The 18,299-nt window shown below is 43.2% G+C and overlaps 1 pseudogene across 1 annotated transcript in view, besides 1 other annotated feature; it reads left to right on the top strand.

Moving 5' to 3' along the window:
- WDR87BP (WD repeat domain 87B, pseudogene) overlaps nucleotides 1-18,299 on the top strand; it is a 31,475-nt pseudogene that overhangs the window by 2,328 nt on the left and 10,848 nt on the right. Inside the window, exon 3 of the transcript NR_040015.1 lies at nucleotides 15,854-15,976. The product of NR_040015.1 is annotated as a WD repeat domain 87B, pseudogene (transcript). The remainder of the gene's footprint in view (nucleotides 1-15,853; nucleotides 15,977-18,299) is intronic.
- Nucleotides 15,966-16,260: a silencer, noted in NCBI's record as "tiled region #13711; K562 Repressive DNase matched - State 24:Quies". NCBI's record gives its function as "represses a minimal TATA promoter and a strong SV40 promoter by Sharpr-MPRA in K562 cells {active_cell/tissue: K562}" and the evidence as "EXISTENCE:reporter gene assay evidence [ECO:0000049][PMID:27701403]".

The following is an 18,299-nucleotide window of genomic DNA, read 5'->3' as shown; positions in this document are numbered from 1 at the left end:
TGCACCCAGCCTCTCTTTTTCTAAATGCTTTAGTAGGGAAAAAGAACAGGGAATTTCTCTGAGGTCAAGAAGGGTTAAAGTGAAATATCTGACTCTCACCAAAAACTTAATGGAATGAAGTCTTAGTCTAAGATTTAGAAGCGTCAGGAAACCCCCATTTTCCCAGTTAGAGCTCCTAGTCGTAAATCACCAGAGGAAACTTTGGGAAGGCTCTGAGATTGTGGGATCGAACTCTTATTTCTCTTCACACATCAGCTTGCTGTAGCAGCCCACTCTCTCTTTCCTGTACTTTCACTCTCCCTTCTTAGTGGCTTCTTCCCCTTGACTTTTAAATATGTTTAATTTTCTCATTTTAAAAAATCCTTCTTTGCAGGGGCCACTTGGTCTTCCCTTGCATGTACTTGAGAGTTGTATGCAGGATTTTGGAAAGTTTAAACTTTACTTATGGTAGGCTGGGTGTGGTGGCTCATGGCTGTAATCCCAGCACTTTGGGAAGCCGAGGCAGGCAGATCACCTGAGGTTAGGAGTTCCAGACCAGCCTGGCCAACATGGTGAAACCCTGTCTGTACTAAAAATACAAAAATTAGCCAGCCATGGTGGTGCACACCTGTAATCCCAGCTACTCAGGAAGCCGAGGGAGGAAAATTGCTTGAACCCAGGAGGCAGAGTTTGCAGTGAGCCGAGATTGTACCACTGCACTCCAGCCTGGGTGACAGAGTGAGAATCCATCTAAAAATAATAATAAAATAAATAAGCTTTACTTATGGTAGAAATTTAGTAAGATAAAAGAAGAAAAAGAGGTAGTGACTCTTGCTAGGTGGAAAAGAAAGGGCTAGAATTGTTCAGCTAGGGATAGAAATCCCAAAGGAGGTCCTCCATTAGCACACTGGTGTCAGCTGGGAGCTATTTGTCCTTCTCCTCCACAAGATAAGTACAGAAATTCAGAGTAAGCATTTAGGAACTTTTATAGCAGTTTTACAGAGTAATCTAATGTATGTTGAACTTAATAATAAAAAAATCAAGGTGGCTCACCCCTGTAATCCCAGCATTTTGTGAGGCTGAGGTGGTTGGATCACTTGAGGTCAGGAGTTTGAGACCAGCCTGGCCAACATGGTGAAACCCCGTCTCTACTGAAAATTCAAAAATTAGCCGGATGTGATGGCACACTCCTGTAGTCCCAGCTACTCTGGAGGCTGAGCCAGGAGAATCACTTGAACCTGGGAGGCAGAGGTTGCAGTGAGCTGAGATAGTGCCACTGCACTCCAGCCTGGGCAACAGAGCAAGGCTCTATCTCAAAAAAAAAAAAAAAAAAAAAATTGGGTTCCAGTACCAGAGCAGCTAGCAATCCTAAACCTAATGGGAAATGAAGGGGAGCTGGATATGGGTGTTTACAGTGTGACTTTCACAGAATACTTTTTTTTTTTTTTTGAGATGATGTCTCACTCTGTTGCCTAGGCTGGTCTCAAATTCCCAGACTCATGAGATCCTCCCACCTCGGTCTCCCAAAGTGCCGGGATTACAAGTGTGAGCCACCACACCTGGCCTAGAATATTTCTTTTACCTGGTAGACATCCTGACTCTCAGTTGTCCCACCCATGACCAGGGGAAACTTTGTGCAGGAAACTTGTTTATACTGGCAGATGTCCTTGTGGCTCTTGTCTGACCCATGCCCCAGCTCTGACACCGGGAGCCCAGCGTTATGTTCCCTCTCGCATCCTTGGGGAAACCCAGCCTGAGGCAGCCCCTAGTTTTTTAGATGGAAGGTGCAAATCCAACACATTACCACAATAGAAAACAGGTTCAAAGATTTTTTTACTTACAGATCCTGGGCAGGGAAGGCACAGTGAGTCTGGAAGGCAGTCCAGATGTCCCCGGAACATGCAAGGCAGGAATGAAGAGTCAGGTGGCCAGAGAGAAAGAGAGAAGAAACTGGCAGTATATATAAGGGAACAGGGTGTGGATCACTTTAAGTTCACAGGCTTATTTATTTATTTAGAGATGGAGTTTTGTTCTGTCTGATCCCGGCTCACTGCAACCTCTGTCTCCTGCGTTCAAGCAATTCTCCTGCCTCAGCCTCCCAAGTAGCTGAGACTACAGGCGTGCACCAACATGCCTGGCTAATTTTTGTATTTTTAATAGAGCTGGGGTTTCGCCGTGTTGGCCAGGCTGGTCTTGAACTCCTGACCTGAAGTGATCTACCCACCTTGGCCTCCCAAAGTGCTGGGATTACAGGCATGAGCCATCGTGCCTGGCCCATAGGCGAATTATTTTATTTTATTTATTATTTATTATTATTATTATTTATTTAATATAATAAATTTTTTTTTGAGACAGTGTCTTACTCTGTTGCCCAGGCTGGAGTGCAGTGGCACAATCTTGGCTCGCTGCAACCTCTGCCTCCTAGGTTCAAGAGATTCTCCTGCCTCAGCTTCCAAAGTAGCTGGGATTACAGGTGCCCGCCACCATGTCCAGCTAATTTTTTGTATTTTTAGTAGAGACAGGGTTTCACCATGTTGGCCAGGTTGGTCTCGAACTCCTGACCTCAAATGATCCACCCGCCTCAGCCTCCCAGCGTGCTGGGATTACAGGTGTGAGTCATTGCTCCCAGCCGACAAATTATTTTAAAGGAAGCTGTGGAACCGCAGGGAGCCCAGTCTTCTAGGTGGGAGAGATGCCTCTAAGTTCTTATCTCTGGCCACCGTCCTGAGTCCTTTAGGTGTGGTATGGAACTGAAAACTGTGTCAAGGGTGACTGATTCCTGTTTCTTGTATGAGAAAGTTAAACTTGTATTTAAAATTGATACCAAGACAACATTAAATTAAAACAATTGACTATACTGTTTTCCACAGCCACTGCACCATCTGACATTCCCACAAGCAATGTCAGAGGGTACCCATTTCTCCATTTCCTTGCCAACACTTGTTATTTTCCATTAAAAAAAATTAAAGCCATCTTGGTAGATGTGAAGTATCTTATTGAGGTTTTGATTTGCATTTCCCTAATAACCAGTGATGTTGAGCATCTTTTCATGTGGCTCTTAGCCATTTGTATACACACACACACACACACACACACACACACACATATATTTGGAGACGAAATCTGGCTCTCCCAGGCTACAGTGCAGTGGCACGATTTCGGCTCACTGCAACCTCCGCCTCCCAGGTTCAAGGGATTCTCCTGTCTCAGCCTCCCAAATAGCGGGGAGTACAGGTGCATGCCACCACGCCTGGCTCATTTTTGTATTTTTAGTAGAGACAGGGTTTCGCCATGTTGACCAGGCTGATCTCAAACTCCTGACCTCAGGTGATCTGCCTGCCTTGGCCTCCTAAAGTGCTGGGATTATAGGCATGAGCCACCTCACCCAGCCTGTATATATCTTTGTAGTAATTTCTATTCAAATCCTTTGTCCAATTTTTAACTGGGTTATTTGCCTTTTTGTAGTTCAGTTGTAACAGTTCTTTATATATTCAGGATACTAGGCCCGTATTAGATACATGATTTACAAATATTTTCTCTCATTCTGTGGGTTGTCTTTTCACTTTTTCTTTCTTTTTTTTTCCTTTTTCAGCAAATCTTGGACCTGTGTGAAATCTTTCAGTTTTTTTAATAGTGTCCTTTCCTTAGTGCACAAAGGTTTTTAATTTTGATGAAGTCCAGTTTTTTTTTAGTTGCTTATGGTTTGCCATGTCTGCGAAACCGTTGCCTAGTCCAAAGTGACAAAGATTCCTGGTTTTAGTTCTTATATTTAGGTATTTGATCTATTTCGTGCTAATTTTTTTAATGGTTTGAGGTAGAAGTCCAAATTTATTATGCTGCATGTAGATATTCAGTTGTCCCAGCAACATTTGTTGAAACTACATATTTTCTAAGTAATTCTTTCTGGTTTTTTTTTGTTGTTGTTTGTTTTTTTTGTTTGTTTGTTTTTTCATTTTGAGACTGAATCTTGTTCTGTCGCCCAGGTTGGAGTGCAGTGGTCCCATCTCGGCTCACTGCAACCTCTGCCTCCTGGGTTCAAGCGATTCTCCTGCCTCAGCCTCCCAAGTAGCTGAGATTAGAGGCACACACCACTATGCCCAGCTAATTTTTGTATTTCTTAGTAGAGACGGGGTTTCTCCATGCTTGCCAGGCTGGTCTTGAACTCCTGACCTCAAGTGATCCTCTCGCTTCGGCCTCCCAAAGTGCTGGGATAACAGGTGTAAGCCACCACGCCCGGCCTGCTTTTCCCATTTTTGTCCTCCAGGTTCTTCACTGGGTTTTTCTCCCTTGTGTTCTTTCAACTTTTGTCCTTATGCTTGTGATACTTGATTTTTCTTCGATTTCTGCCTGCTCTCTATTTGTTCTTACCCTGTTCTTTCAGCATCTCCTCCCTGGATTTTTATATTTTTGCTTTGTGGTCTTCCATCACAGAGGAAATTGCATCAAGTCTTTTTTTTCATTCACGGCAAAATATTTGGTTATAATTTTTTTTTGTTTTTGAGACAGTGTCTCACTCTGTTGTCCAGGCTGGAGTGCAGTGGTGAGATCATAGCTCACTGCAGCCTCAACCTCCAGGGCTCAAGCAATCTTCCCACCTCAACCTCCTGAGTAGCTGAGACTACAGTAGTATGCCACCACTCCTGGCTAGTTTTTTATTTTTTGTAGAGACGGGGTCTCGCTATGTTGCCCAGGCTGGTCTTGAACTCCTGGGCTGAAGCAATCTTCTCACCTCAGCCTCCTGAAGTGCTGAGATTACAAGCAAAAGCCACCACACCTGGCCTAGTTATAATTTTTATCTGATCCATTGAGGCAGTTTTCCAGTGAAAGCTCTTCATATGTTAGTTTACTTTGTTACTCTTTCCTTCAGAGTTCGTTTTGTAGTTTTGGGTTAATGTAGCTAGTCCCTTTTTTCTTGCAGAACATTGCCTAAGTTGGGTTTTCCTGGATGAGTTTTTCTTTTAAGAGGTTCCTTCTGCCTCACATATGGCTTTTGTAGGAGACTGATCAACTCTGTCTCCTCTGTTTTTGCTTTCCAGTTTCTTACAGTGTAGTTGCAAACAAGAGGTATAGATCCCTACCTGACGGTGGACTCCTCACCTGTAGGAAATTTAATTTCCCAGGTGTTTTCTTTTCCTTTGCTTTTTCTTTTTCTTTCTTTTTTTTTTTTTTTCTTTGTTGAGATGAAGTCTCGCTTTGTCGCCCAGGCTGGAGTGCAGTGGCACGATCTCGGCTCACTGCAACCTCCATCTCCCGGGTTCAAGCAATTTTCCTGCCTCAGCCTCTTGAATAGCTGGGACTACAGGCACACACTTCCACACCCGGCTAATTTTTGTATTTTTAGTAGAGACAAAGTTTCACCATGTTGGCCAGGATGCTCTTGATCTCCTGACCTCATGATCCACCCGCCTCGGCCTCCCAAAGTGCTGGGATTACAGGCGTGAGCCACCACAGGTGTTTTCTTATATCTGCTTCTGTTTGTCTTTCTTTCTGCTCAAATTTCTTTGCATAGTTTCTTGTCTCCACTTCCTCCCTATAGTTGTTCCTCATTTGAGCTGCTTTTCCCAACTTTTACATGTAATTTGTTGTCTACAGATTATACTTCTCCTTGTTTTGCTGAATGTTGAGCTTGCAAAGATTTTTTTTACTCTCCTTATTGCTTTCAGATCATTTTAAGGAACAGAAGCCCATGATACTGTAAAGTTTCTATGTCTTACGTTTTAGATTTTTCTCTTATAAACAGCACGTACTTAATTCATTTAAATATTCAATTTGGTCTCTCTTTTATGTGATGAGTTTAATCTATATTTATTATGATAATGAAAGATTTGTTTCTATCACCTCATTTCTATATATCATACCTCTTTTTCCCTTCTTATTTTATTTCTAATATTGAATTGGTTAATGTTTTCTAATGTTTTCTTTATTTCATACCCCTTTTCCTCAACTGGTAAAATCATGCATTCTATTTGTTTTTTTTCTTTCTTTCTCTCTCTCTTTTTTTTTTTGAGATGGAGTCTCGCTGTGTCACCCAGGCTGGAGTGCATTAGAGCGATCTCGGCTCACTGCAACCTCCACCTCCCAGGTTCAAGTGATTCTCCTGACTCAACCTCCCGAGTAGCTGGGACTACAGGTGCATGCTACCATGCCCGGCTAAGTTTTATATTTTTAGTAGAGGTGGGGTTTTGCCATGTTGGCCAGGCTGGTGTTGAACTCCTGACCTCAGGTGATCTGCCCATCTTGGCCTCCCAAAGTGCTGGGATTACAGGCATGAGCCACCATGCCCGGCCTCTGTTTTTGTTTTTTTTCTTTATGGTAGTTTCCTTAACATTTTTAATATACACATATAACAGAATGTTAAATCTGACTTTCCGTGTTCTGGGAGTTTTATTTGAGATCAGTAGGTGTTTGATAACATATGAAGAGCATGCTAAGAGATTGTGAAGGATTTTTTTTGTGACTCTTAAATTATTATCCTCTTGGGTATAAAAATTAAAATGATGATTTCTCCAGAGAGAATTGTTGATGTGCTCTGTGGTGTTTCTCCTTCTTTCTTTTCTCCCTTGTCAGTCCAAGTGAGGGACATGTCAGAGAATCATTTGGAGAACGTGATAGGTATCCCTGTGAATTTGGGGTATGCCTGGATAAAAGTTTAAAGAAGTGTAAGCTTTCAGGAAGCTGGTCATGAGTCAGCTCTGTCTGTGGAAGTCTCTCTCTCTGAGGTTTGTTTTTGTCAAGCATTCCAGTGCTTCATGGAAGGGTTTTAATTCCAACTCCCTATCATTGGCCCGAGTCCTGGGTCTTCTCTTTACCAGGGCAATACTATCCAAGCCACTAGCCATTGTGGTCATTGATATTTGTGGTCTTTATGGGCTCTGGTAACTACACCTTCTCAGGACCAGCACAACAGTAGTCAGCACTTGTTGCTGTGGGTTACCCTCTACTTCCCTAGTTTCTGGTTCCTGAAGCTCAGGTACTTGTTATTTTACCCAGAATTTCTCGGATTTTGTAGTGTGAGGCTTTCAGGTTATTTTAGCCTGGCATCTTGTCATAATTGGATATCTATATGAACTTGTTCAGTGCCTGTCTTCTATGCTAGACAGTAAACCCCATCCAGGCAGATACTCATTCTTCTTCCCTGCTTCATCTCTAGCTCTCAGCACAGTCGGCATATAATGAGCCGTGAGGAAATATTTGTGGAAAGTGGGTGACTTTTACATATATGAGGACTTCCGTAGGAAAGAAGGATGATGGTTAATAAATATAATTATGTCCACAAATATTAGATTCCTAATAAAGAGAGCTAAGGGAGGGCTAGGCCCCTGCATTATTTCAGCTAAGCTACAGCTGGCTCACCTAAACTCACCTGAAAGCTTTACTTAATGTATTTTTTGTTCTGTTTCTAGACTATATAAAGCACCCACTTCACTCTATTCTTTTTCTTTTTTCTTTCTTTTTTTTTTTTTTTTGGTTTGTTTTTTGAGATGGAGTCTCGCTCTGTCGCCAGGCTGGAGTGCAGTGGTGCAATCTTGGCTCACTGCAACCTCTGCCTCCCAGGTTCAAGCGATCCTCCTGCCTCAGCCTCCTGAGTAGCTGGGACTACAAGCGTGCACCACCATGACCAGCTAATTTTTTGTATTTTTAGTAGAGACAGGGTTTCACCATGTTGGCCAGGATGGTCTCGATCTCTTGACGCTGACCTTGTGATGCGCCTGCCTCGGTCTCCCAAAGTGCTGGGATTACAGGCAAGAGCCACTGCACCCGGCCTTTTTTTCTTTTTCTTTCTTTTTTTTTTTTTTGAGATGGAGTCTTGCTCTGTTGCCCAGGCTGGAGTGCAGTGGCGCAATCTTGGCTCACTGAAACCTCCGCCTCCCGGGTTCAAGCGATTCTCCTGCCTCAGCCTCCCTAGTAGCTTGGATTACAGGCATGCACCACCACACCCGGCTAATTTTTGTATTTTTAGTAGAGACGGGGTTTCACCATCTTGGCCAGGCTGGTCTTTAACTCCTGACCTTGTGATTCACCCGCCTCGGCCTCCCAAAGTGCTGGGATTACAGGCATGAACCACCACGCCTCGCTTTTTTCTTTTTTTAGGACAGGGTCTCGCTTTATCATCCAGGCTGGAGTGCGGTGCCATGATCACAACTCACTGCAGCCTTGACCTCCCAGGCTCAAGCACTTGTCCCGCCTCAGGTACTCGAGTAGCTGGGGCTACAGGTACTTGCCACCACACCCGGCTAATTTTTGAAAATTTTTTTAGAGAAAAGGTCTCATTATGTTGCCCAGGCTGGTCTCAAACTTCTGAGCTGAAGTGATCCTTCCGTTTCAGCCTCCCAAAGTGTTAGGATTACAGGCATGAGCCATTGTGCCAGGTCACTCTATTCCCTCTTAAAAATGAAATTAAGGCCGAGTGTGGTGGCTCACACCTGTAATCCCAGCACTTTGGGAGGCTGAGGCAGGAGAACTGCTTGAGGGCAGGAGTTTGAGACCAGCCTGGGCAACATAGCAAGACCCCACCTCTACAAAAAATAAAACATTAGCTGAGCATGATGGCATGTGCCTGTAGTCCAAGCTACTTGGGAGGCTAAGGCAGAAGGATCCCTTGAGCCCAGGAGTTGCAGGTTACAGTGAACTTTGATTACTCCAGTGCATTCCAGCCTGAGTGTCAGAGCAAGACTTTCTAAACAAACAAATAAAATCAAATTTATTTAGGTATAATTTTCATGTAATAAAGTATACCATATTTTTTTGATGAGTTTTGACCAATTTCTATACCCATGTAACCACTACCAGAGTCAAGATACAGAACATTACAAGACTACAAAAAGTTCCCTTTCATCCCTTCCCACTCAGTCCTCCTAAATCTTTGCCCCATGTAACCACTGATCTACTTTCTGGCCCTGTTGGCTAGATTACTTTTTTTTTTTTTTTTTTTTTTTGAGACGGAGTCTCACTGTGTCACCCAGGCTGGAGTGCAGTGGCATGATTTTGGCTCACTGCAACCTCCGCCTCCCAGGTTCAAGCGATTCTCCTGCCTCAGCCTTCTGAGTAGCTGGGACCACAGGCACACGCCATCACGCCTGGCTAATTTTTGTATTTTTAGTAGAGATGGGGTTTCACCATGTTGGCCAGGATGGTCTCCAACTCCTGACCTCGTGATCCACCTGCCTCGGCCCCCCAAAGTGCTGGGATTACAGACGTGAGCCACTGCGCCCGGCCTAGATGACTCTTTTCTAGAATTTCATATAGATGGAATCATACAATACGTGCTGTTTTGTGTCTGCCTTCTTGTACTCAGTATTAAGTTTTTGAGTTTCATCTATGTTGTTGCAAATACTAGTAGTTCATTTTCATTCCTATCTTTTTTTTTTTATTATACTTTAAGTTTTAGGGTACATGTGCACATTGTGCAGGTTAGTTACATATGTATACATGTGCCATGCTGGTGCGCTGCACCCACTAACTCGTCATCTAGCATTAGGTATATCTCCCAATGCTACCCCTCCCCCCTCCCCCCACCCCACCACAGTCCCCAGAGTGTGATATTCCCCTTCCTGTGACCATGTGATCTCATTGTTCACTTCCCACCTATGAGTGAGTATATGCGGTGTTTGGTTTTTTGTTCTTGCGATAGTTTACTGAGAATGATGGTTTCCAATTTCATCCATGTCCCTACAAAGGACATGAACTCATCATTTTTTATGGCTGCATAGTATTCCATGGTGTATATGTGCCACATTTTCTTAATCCAGTCTATCATTGTTGGACATTTGGGTTGGTTCCAAGTCTTTGCTATTGTGAATAATGCCGCAATAAACATACGTGTGCATGTGTCTTTATAGCAGCATGATTTATAGTCATTTGGGTATATACCCAGTAATGGGATGGCTGGGTCAAATGGTATTTCTAGTTCTAGATCCCTGAGGAATCGCCACACTGACTTCCACAATGGTTGAACTAGTTTACAGTCCCACCAACAGTGTAAAAGTGTTCCTATTTCTCCACATCCTCTCCAGCACCTGTTGTTTCCTGACTTTTTAATGATTGCCATTCTAACTGGTGTGAGATGGTATCTCATAGTGGTTTTGATTTGCATTTCTCTGATGGCCAGTGATAATGAGCATTTTTTCATGTATTTTTTGGCTGCATAAATGTCTTCTTTTGAGAAGTGTCTGTTCATGTCCTTCGCCCACTTTTTGATGGGGTTGTTTGTTTTTTTCTTGTAAATTTGTTTGAGTTCATTGTAGATTCTGGATATTAGCCCTTTGTCAGATGAGTAGGTTGTGAAAATTTTCTCCCATGTTGTAGGTTGCCTGTTCACTCTGATGGTAGTTTCTTTTGCTGTGCAGAAGCTCTTTAGTTTAATTAGATCCCATTTGTCAATTTTGGCTTTTGTTGCCATTGCTTTTGGTGTTTTGGACATGAAGTCCTTGCCCACGCCTATGTCCTGAATGGTAATGCCTAGGTTTTCTTCTAGGGTTTTTATGGTTTTAGGTCTAACGTTTAAATCTTTAATCCATCTTGAATTGATTTTTGTATAAGGTGTAAGGAAGGGATCCAGTTTCAGCTTTCTACATATGGCTAGCCAGTTTTCCCAGCACCATTTATTAAATAGGGAATCCTTTCCCCATTGCTTGTTTTTCTCAGGTTTGTCAAAGATCAGATAGTTGTAGGTATGCGGCGTTATTTCTGAGGGCTCTGTTCTGTTCCATTGATCTATATCTCTGTTTTGGTACCAGTACCATGCTGTTTTGGTTACTGTAGCCTTGTAGTATAGTTTGAAGTCAGGTAGTGTGATGCCTCCAGCTTTGTTCTTTTGGCTTAGGATTGACTTGGCGATGCGGGCTCTTTTTTGGTTCCATATGAACTTTAAAGTAGTTTTTTCCAATTCTGTGAAGAAAGTCATTGGTAGCTTGATGGGGATGGCATTGAATCTGTAAATTACCTTGGGCAGTATGGCCATTTTCACGATATTGATTCTTCCTACCCATGAGCATGGAATGTTCTTCCATTTGTTTGTATCCTCTTTTATTTCCTTGAGCAGTGGTTTGTAGTTCTCCTTGAAGAGGTCCTTCACATCCCTTGTAAGTTGGATTCCTAGGTATTTTATTCTCTTTGAAGCAATTGTGAATGGGAGTTCACTCATGATTTGGCTCTCTGTTTGTCTGTTGTTGGTGTATAAGAATGCTTGTGATTTTTGTACATTGATTTTGTATCCTGAGACTTTGCTGAAGTTGCTTATCAGCTTAAGGAGATTTTGGGCTGAGACGATGGGGTTTTCTAGATAAACAATCATGTCGTCTGCAAACAGGGACAATTTGACTTCCTCTTTTCCTAATTGAATACCCTTTATTTCCTTCTCCTGCCTGATTGCCCTGGCCAGAACTTCCAACACTATGTTGAATAGGAGTGGTGAGAGAGGGCATCCCTGTCTTGTGCCAGTTTTCAAAGGGAATGCTTCCAGTTTTTGCCCATTCAGTATGATATTGGCTGTGGGTTTGTCATAGATAGCTCTTATTATTTTGAAATACGTCCCATCAATACCTAATTTATTGAGAGTTTTTAGCATGAAGGGTTGTTGAATTTTGTCAAAGGCTTTTTCTGCATCTATTGAGATAATCATGTGGTTTTTGTCTTTGGCTCTGTTTATATGCTGGATTACATTTATTGATTTGCGTATATTGAACCAGCCTTGCATCCCAGGGATGAAGCCCACTTGATCATGGTGGATAAGCTTTTTGATGTGCTGCTGGATTCGGTTTGCCAGTATTTTATTAAGGATTTTTGCATCAATGTTAATCAAGGATATTGGTCTAAAATTCTCTTTTTTGGTTGTGTCTCTGCCCGGCTTTGGTATCAGAATGATGCTGGCCTCATAAAATGAGTTAGGGAGGATTCCCTCTTTTTCTGTTGATTGGAATAGTTTCAGAAGGAATGGTACCAGTTCCTCCTTGTACCTCTGGTAGAATTCGGCTGTGAATCCATCTGGTCCTGGACTCTTTTTGGTTGGTAAACTATTGATTATTGCCACAATTTCAGCTCCTGTTATTTGTCTATTCAGAGATTCAACTTCTTCCTGGTTTAGTCTTGGGAGAGTGTATGTGTCAAGGAATGTATCCATTTCTTCTAGATTTTCTAGTTTATTTGCGTAGAGGTGTTTGTAGTATTCTCTGATGGTAGTTTGTATTTCTGTGGGATCGGTGGTGATATCCCCTTTATCATTTTTTATTGTGTCTATTTGATTCTCTTCTCTTTTTTTCTTTATTAGTCTTGCTAGCGGTCTATCAATTTTGTTGATCCTTTCAAAAAACCAGCTCCTGGATTCATTGATTTTTTGAAGGGTTTTTTGTGTCTCTATTTCCTTCAGTTCTGCTCTGATTTTAGTTATTTCTTGCCTTCTGCTAGCTTTTGAATGTGTTTGCTCTTGCTTTTCTAGTTCTTTTAATTGTGATGTTAGGGTGTCAATTTTGGATCTTTCCTGCTTTCTCTTGTGGGCATTTAGTGCTATAAATTTCCCTCTACACACTGCTTTGAATGAGTCCCAGAGATTCTGGTATGTTGTGTCTTTGTTCTCGTTGGTTTCAAAGAACATCTTTATTTCTGCCTTCATTTCGTTATGTACCCAGTAGTCATTCAGGAGCAGGTTGTTCAGTTTCCATGTAGTTGAGCGGCTTTGAGTGAGATTCTTAATCCTGAGTTCTAGTTTGATTGCACTGTGGTCTGAGAGATAGTTTGTTATAATTTCTGTTCTTTTACATTTGCTGAGGAGAGCTTTACTTCCAACTATGTGGTCAATTTTGGAATAGGTGTGGTGTGGTGCTGAAAAAAACGTATATTCTGTTGATTTGGGGTGGAGAGTTCTGTAGATGTCTATTAGGTCTGCTTGGTGCAGAGATGAGTTCAATTCCTGGGTATCCTTGTTGACTTTCTGTCTCGTTGATCTGTCTAATGTTGACAGTGGGGTGTTAAAGTCTCCCATTATTAATGTGTGGGAGTCTAAGTCTCTTTGTAGGTCACTCAGGACTTGCTTTATGAATCTGGGTGCTCCTGTATTGGGTGCATATATATTTAGGATAGTTAGCTCCTCTTGTTGAATTGATCCCTTTACCATTATGTAATGGCCTTCTTTGTCTCTTTTGATCTTTGTTGGTTTAAAGTCTGTTTTATCAGAGACTAGGATTGCAACCCCTGCCTTTTTTTGTTTTCCATTTGCTTGGTAGATCTTCCTCCATCCTTTTATTTTCAGCCTATGTGTGTCTCTGCACGTGAGATGGGTTTCCTGAATACAGCACACTGATGGGTCTTGACTCTTTATCCAACTTGCCAGTCTGTGTCTTTTAATTGGAGAATTTAGTCCATTTACATTTAAAGTTAATATTGTTATGTGTGAATTTGATCCTGTCATTATGATGTTAGCTGGTGATTTTGCTCGTTAGTTGATGCAGTTTCTTCCTAGTCTCGATGGTCTTTACATTTTGGCATGATTTTGCAGCGGCTGGTACCAGTTGTTCCTTTCCATGTTTAGCGCTTCCTTCAGGAGCTCTTTTAGGGCAGGCCTGATGGTGACAAAATCTCTCAGCATTTGCTTGTCTGTAAAGTATTTTATTTCTCCTTCACTTATGAAGCTTAGTTTGGCTGGATATGAAATTCTGGGTTGAAAATTCTTTTCTTTAAGAATGTTGAATATTGGCCCCCACTCTCTTCTGGCTTGTAGGGTTTCTGCTGAGAGATCCGCTGTTAGTCTGATGGGCTTCCCTTTGAGGGTAACCCGACCTTTCTCTCTGGCTGCCCTTAACATTTTTTCGTTCATTTCAACTTTGGTGAATCTGATAATTATGTGTCTTGGAGTTGCTCTTCTCGAGGAGTATCTTTGTGGCGTTCTCTGTATTTCCTGAATCTGAACGTTGGTCTGCCTTGCTAGATTAGGGAAGTTCTCCTGGATAATATCCTGCAGAGTGTTTTCCAACTTGGTTCCATTCTCCGCATCACTTTCAGGTACACCAATCAGACGTAGATTTGGTCTTTTCACATAGTCCCATATCTCTTGGAGGCTTTGCTCATTTCTTTTTATTCTTTTTTCTCTAAACTTCCCTTCTCGCTTCATTTCATTCATTTCATCTTCCATTGCTGATACCCTTTCTTCCAGTTGATCGCATCGGCTCCTGAGGCTTCTGCATTCTTCACGTAGTTCTCGAGCCTTGGTTTTCAGCTCCATCAGCTCCTTTAAGCACTTCTCTGTATTGGTTATTCTAGTTATACATTCTTCTAAATTTTTTTCAAAGTTTTCAACTTCTTTGCCTTTGGTTTGAATGTCCTCCCGTAGCTCAGAGTAATTTGATCATCTGAAACCTTCTTCTCTCAGCTCGTCAAAGTCATTCTCCATCCAGCTTTGTTCCGTTGCTGGTGAGGAACTGCGTTCCTTTGGAGGAGGAGAGGCGCTCTGCGTTTTAGAGTTTCCAGTTTTTCTGTTCTGTTTTTTCCCCATCTTTGTGGTTTTATCTACTTTTGGTCTTTGATGATGGTGATGTACAGATGGGTTTTCGGTGTGGATGTCCTTTCTGTTTGTTAGTTTTCCTTCTAACAGACAGGACCCTCAGCTGCAGGTCTGTTGGAATACCCTGCCGTGTGAGGTGTCAGTGTGCCCCTGCTGGGGGGTGCCTCCCAGTTAGGCTGCTCGGGGGTCAGGGGTCAGGGACCCACTTGAGGAGGTAGTCTGCCCGTTCTCAGATCTCCAGCTGCGTGCTGGGAGAACCACTGCTCTCTTCAAAGCTGTCAGACAGGGACATTTAAGTCTGCAGAGGTTACTGCTGTCTTTTCGTTTGTCTGTGCCCTGCCCCCAGAGGTGGAGCCTACAGAGGCAGGCAGGCCTCCTTGAGCTGTGGTGGGCTCCACCCAGTTCGAGCTTCCCGGCTGCTTTGTTTACCTAAGCAAGCCTGGGCAACGGCGGGCGCCCCTCCCCCAGCCTCGCTGCCGCCTTGCAGTTTGATCTCAGACTGCTGTGCTAGCAATCAGCGAGATTCCGTGGGCGTAGGACCCTCCAAGCCAGGTGTGGGATATAGTCTCGTGGTGCGCCGTTTTTTAAGCCGGTCTGAAAAGCGCAGTATTCGGGTGGGAGTGACCCGATTTTCCAGGTGCGTCCGTCACCCCTTTCTTTGACTCAGAAAGGGAACTCCCTGACCCCTTGCGCTTCCCAGGTGAGGCAATGCCTCGCCCTGCTTCGGCTCGCGCACGGTGCGCACACCCACTGGCCTGCGCCCACTGTCTGGCACTCCCTAGTGAGATGAACCCGGTACCTCAGATGGAAATGCAGAAATCACCCGTCTTCTGCGTCGCTCACGCTGGGAGCTGTAGACCGGAGCTGTTCCTATTCGGCCATCTTGGCTCCTCCCCAAGGCCTCTTCTATTCCTATCTTTTTTAAAACAAAGGAGTTTCTCCTGTTTCTAAGGGAGCACTTCTTTTTTTTTTTTTTTTTTTTTTTTTTTGAGATGGAGTCTCGCTCTGTCGCCAAGGCTGGAGTGCAGTGGCGCAATCTCGGCCCACTGCAACCTCCTCCTCCCAGGTTCAAGCGATTCTTCTGCCTCAGCCTCCCGAGTAGCTGGGATTACAGGCACGTGCCACCATGCCAAGCTAATTTTTGTGTTTTTAGTAGAGATGGGGTTTCACCATGTTGGCCAGGCTGGTCTCAAATTCCTGGGCTCAAGTGATCCACCTGCCTTGGCCTCCCAAAGTGCTGGGATTACAGGCATGGGCCACCGCGCCTGGCTTCTAAAGGAGTACTTCTCTAATTTATCTTGCTGCCCTTCCCTCTTTCCCAATTCCCTTAATTTCCGTTCTAACATTAGATGTTGTTGATTAAGAGACCTTTACCTTCCACAGGTTCTGTAATCCAAGATGTCTGTAAAGAGCTGGGATATCACTAGGAAATCATCTTCATCCAGACTTATTCCTGAGTGGAAGAACTTGAAGTTCCTCATAAATAAGATCCTGAAGGACATAAAGGTGATGTGTATGAGAGCTGTGCACATGGTGGCCCTGGACTAATTATTCCTGCCAAGGCAGGCTGTGGCATGGGCAAGACATAGGCAACTTAGGAAAGACCCTTCCACATCCCCCAATAACTTCCCCTGCTAAATTAAGATGATCGCATTAGGTAAGTTAGAACACTTTCTGCTGCAATAACAGAAAATGGATTTATATGGATTAAACAAGTAAGAGGCATCTTTGTCCTACGTGTTGTCAAGGACCTGCATTCTTTTTCTTTCTTTTCCACCATTTCTATTATGTTAGCTTATTATCCTAGGCTTACAAGATAGTCGTTGCACTTCCAGGTATCAGCCTCAAATTGCAAGTAGATAGAAGATAGAAGAGGGAAGCTCAGAGAGCCACAGGGCCATGCCAGCCTTGGAGTACTATAGTAGTACTCTATGTTGCTGAAGTTTCTGGGTCCATGATCGCCCTAAGCCAAATCAGAATTTCATTCGGATGGAAGGAGGGGGAAGAGGAAGGAGAAGGATTTGATGTAGAGTAGGTAGCAGTAATATCAGGCAGATACATTGCGTTAAGATATTCTTAGTTTTTTTCCATAGCAAAGCGTTGATCTCATTTAATGAGTGAATGAATTGTTTGTACATAAAGGCTGGAAAGGAGAAAAGGAATGATGATTAACTAATGGAATAAGAGGTATGTAAATGAGCTTTCTGATTAAGAGAGATGAGGGGTTGGGAGCTCAGACACCAGGGTCCTTTCACTCAACTCTGCTACTGCTACTGAATCAGCAATGACAATGGTGCTGTAAGCTCTTGAGATCTGAAAATAAGAAATACAGGTAGGGCTGGGCATGGTGGCTCACGCCTGTAATCCCAGGACTTTGGGAGGCCAAGACAGGAGGATCACTTGAGCCCAGGAGTTCAAGAGTAGCCTGGGCAGCATAGCGAGACCCCATCTCTACAAAAATAAAAAAAATTATCCAAGTGTGGTGGTGCATGACTATAGTCCCAGCTACTCAAGAGGCTAAGGTGGAAAGATTGCTTGAGCCCAGCATTTTGATGTTACAGTGAGCTATGATCACACCATGGCACTCTAGTCACGTCAACAGCAACAGAGCAAGACTCTGTCTCTAAAGAAAAAAAAGAGAGAGAGAAAGAAAAAAGAAATACAGAAAGAAGAGAGATTCTAAGTTGTAGATAGATATTGGCCTCAGTATAGTCTCAAATCCTTTGTGGATGCAGGAAGCAGGTATGATGGACATTATAAGTAAAGTTGTTTTAATACTTCAGTTGATTTAGTATTATACCTTCCAACTTAGTTGGTCAGAGCACAAATTCTGATGCAGAGAAACTTGGAGAGTTAGATCCATGGGGCATTGTTCAGGAGGTGGGTATAGTTCAAGTAGCTACTGAGAAGGGTGACCCCAGAAGTAAACTTCATGAACTCAGTTTTGGCTGATCAGCATGAGGACTTCATGTACATACATTACAGACATCTGCTACATCACTGGAAGGTGGCATGTATTGTATATGTTCTACTGTGTAACCTATTACAAGGTATGTAACTCCCTTGATAGGTACATATATATACACACACCCCACATGGCCAGAAGAGCTGACACACAGCTAACTCCATGTTGTAAATAGCACACATTCCCCTTGGGTACACATAAGAATAGTGACAGAATGCAGAGCACAGTGGCTCACGCCTGTAATCCCAGCACTCTGGGAGGCTGAGGTGGGCAGATCACTTGAGGTCAGGAGTTCGAGACCAGCCTGACAAACATGGCAAAACCCTGTCTCTACTAAAAATTCAAAAATTATCCGGGCATGGTGGCGGGCGCCTGTAATCCCAGCTACTCGGGAGGCTGAGGCAGGAGAATCACTTGAACCCAGGAGGCAGAAGTTGCAGTAAGCCAAGATCGCGCCACCTTAGTCCAACCTGGGCGACAGAGCGAGACTCCATCTAAATAAATAAATAAAGAAAGAATAGTGACAGAGGTGCATGCGACAAGGTCTGCCACACATGGTGGTCATCCTATTACATACTGTGAAGTATGAGTTTCCCAAAGGCAGTGTATCGTGTGTGCAATTCTAATAAGAGTGGTCCTTTTGGTGTAGGCTGGAACTTAAAAAAGTTGTTCCAACTGTGACAGGTATACATATTTGCCATGGTTGGGTTCCTCTGTCATACAGAATTGTATTCCTTTCTTTTTTTTTTTTTTTTTTTTTTTTTTTTTTTTGAGATGGAGTCTCGCTCTCGCCCAGGCTGGAGTGCAGTGGTGCGATCTCAGCTCACTGCAGGCTCTGCCTCCTGGGGTTCACGCCATTCTCCT

This window comes from Homo sapiens, chromosome 19, assembly GCF_000001405.40.
Source record: "Homo sapiens chromosome 19, GRCh38.p14 Primary Assembly".
Lineage (NCBI taxonomy): Eukaryota > Metazoa > Chordata > Mammalia > Primates > Hominidae > Homo > Homo sapiens.
Note: the sequence above shows the minus strand (reverse complement) of the source record. Positions and strands in the feature narration are given on the sequence as shown.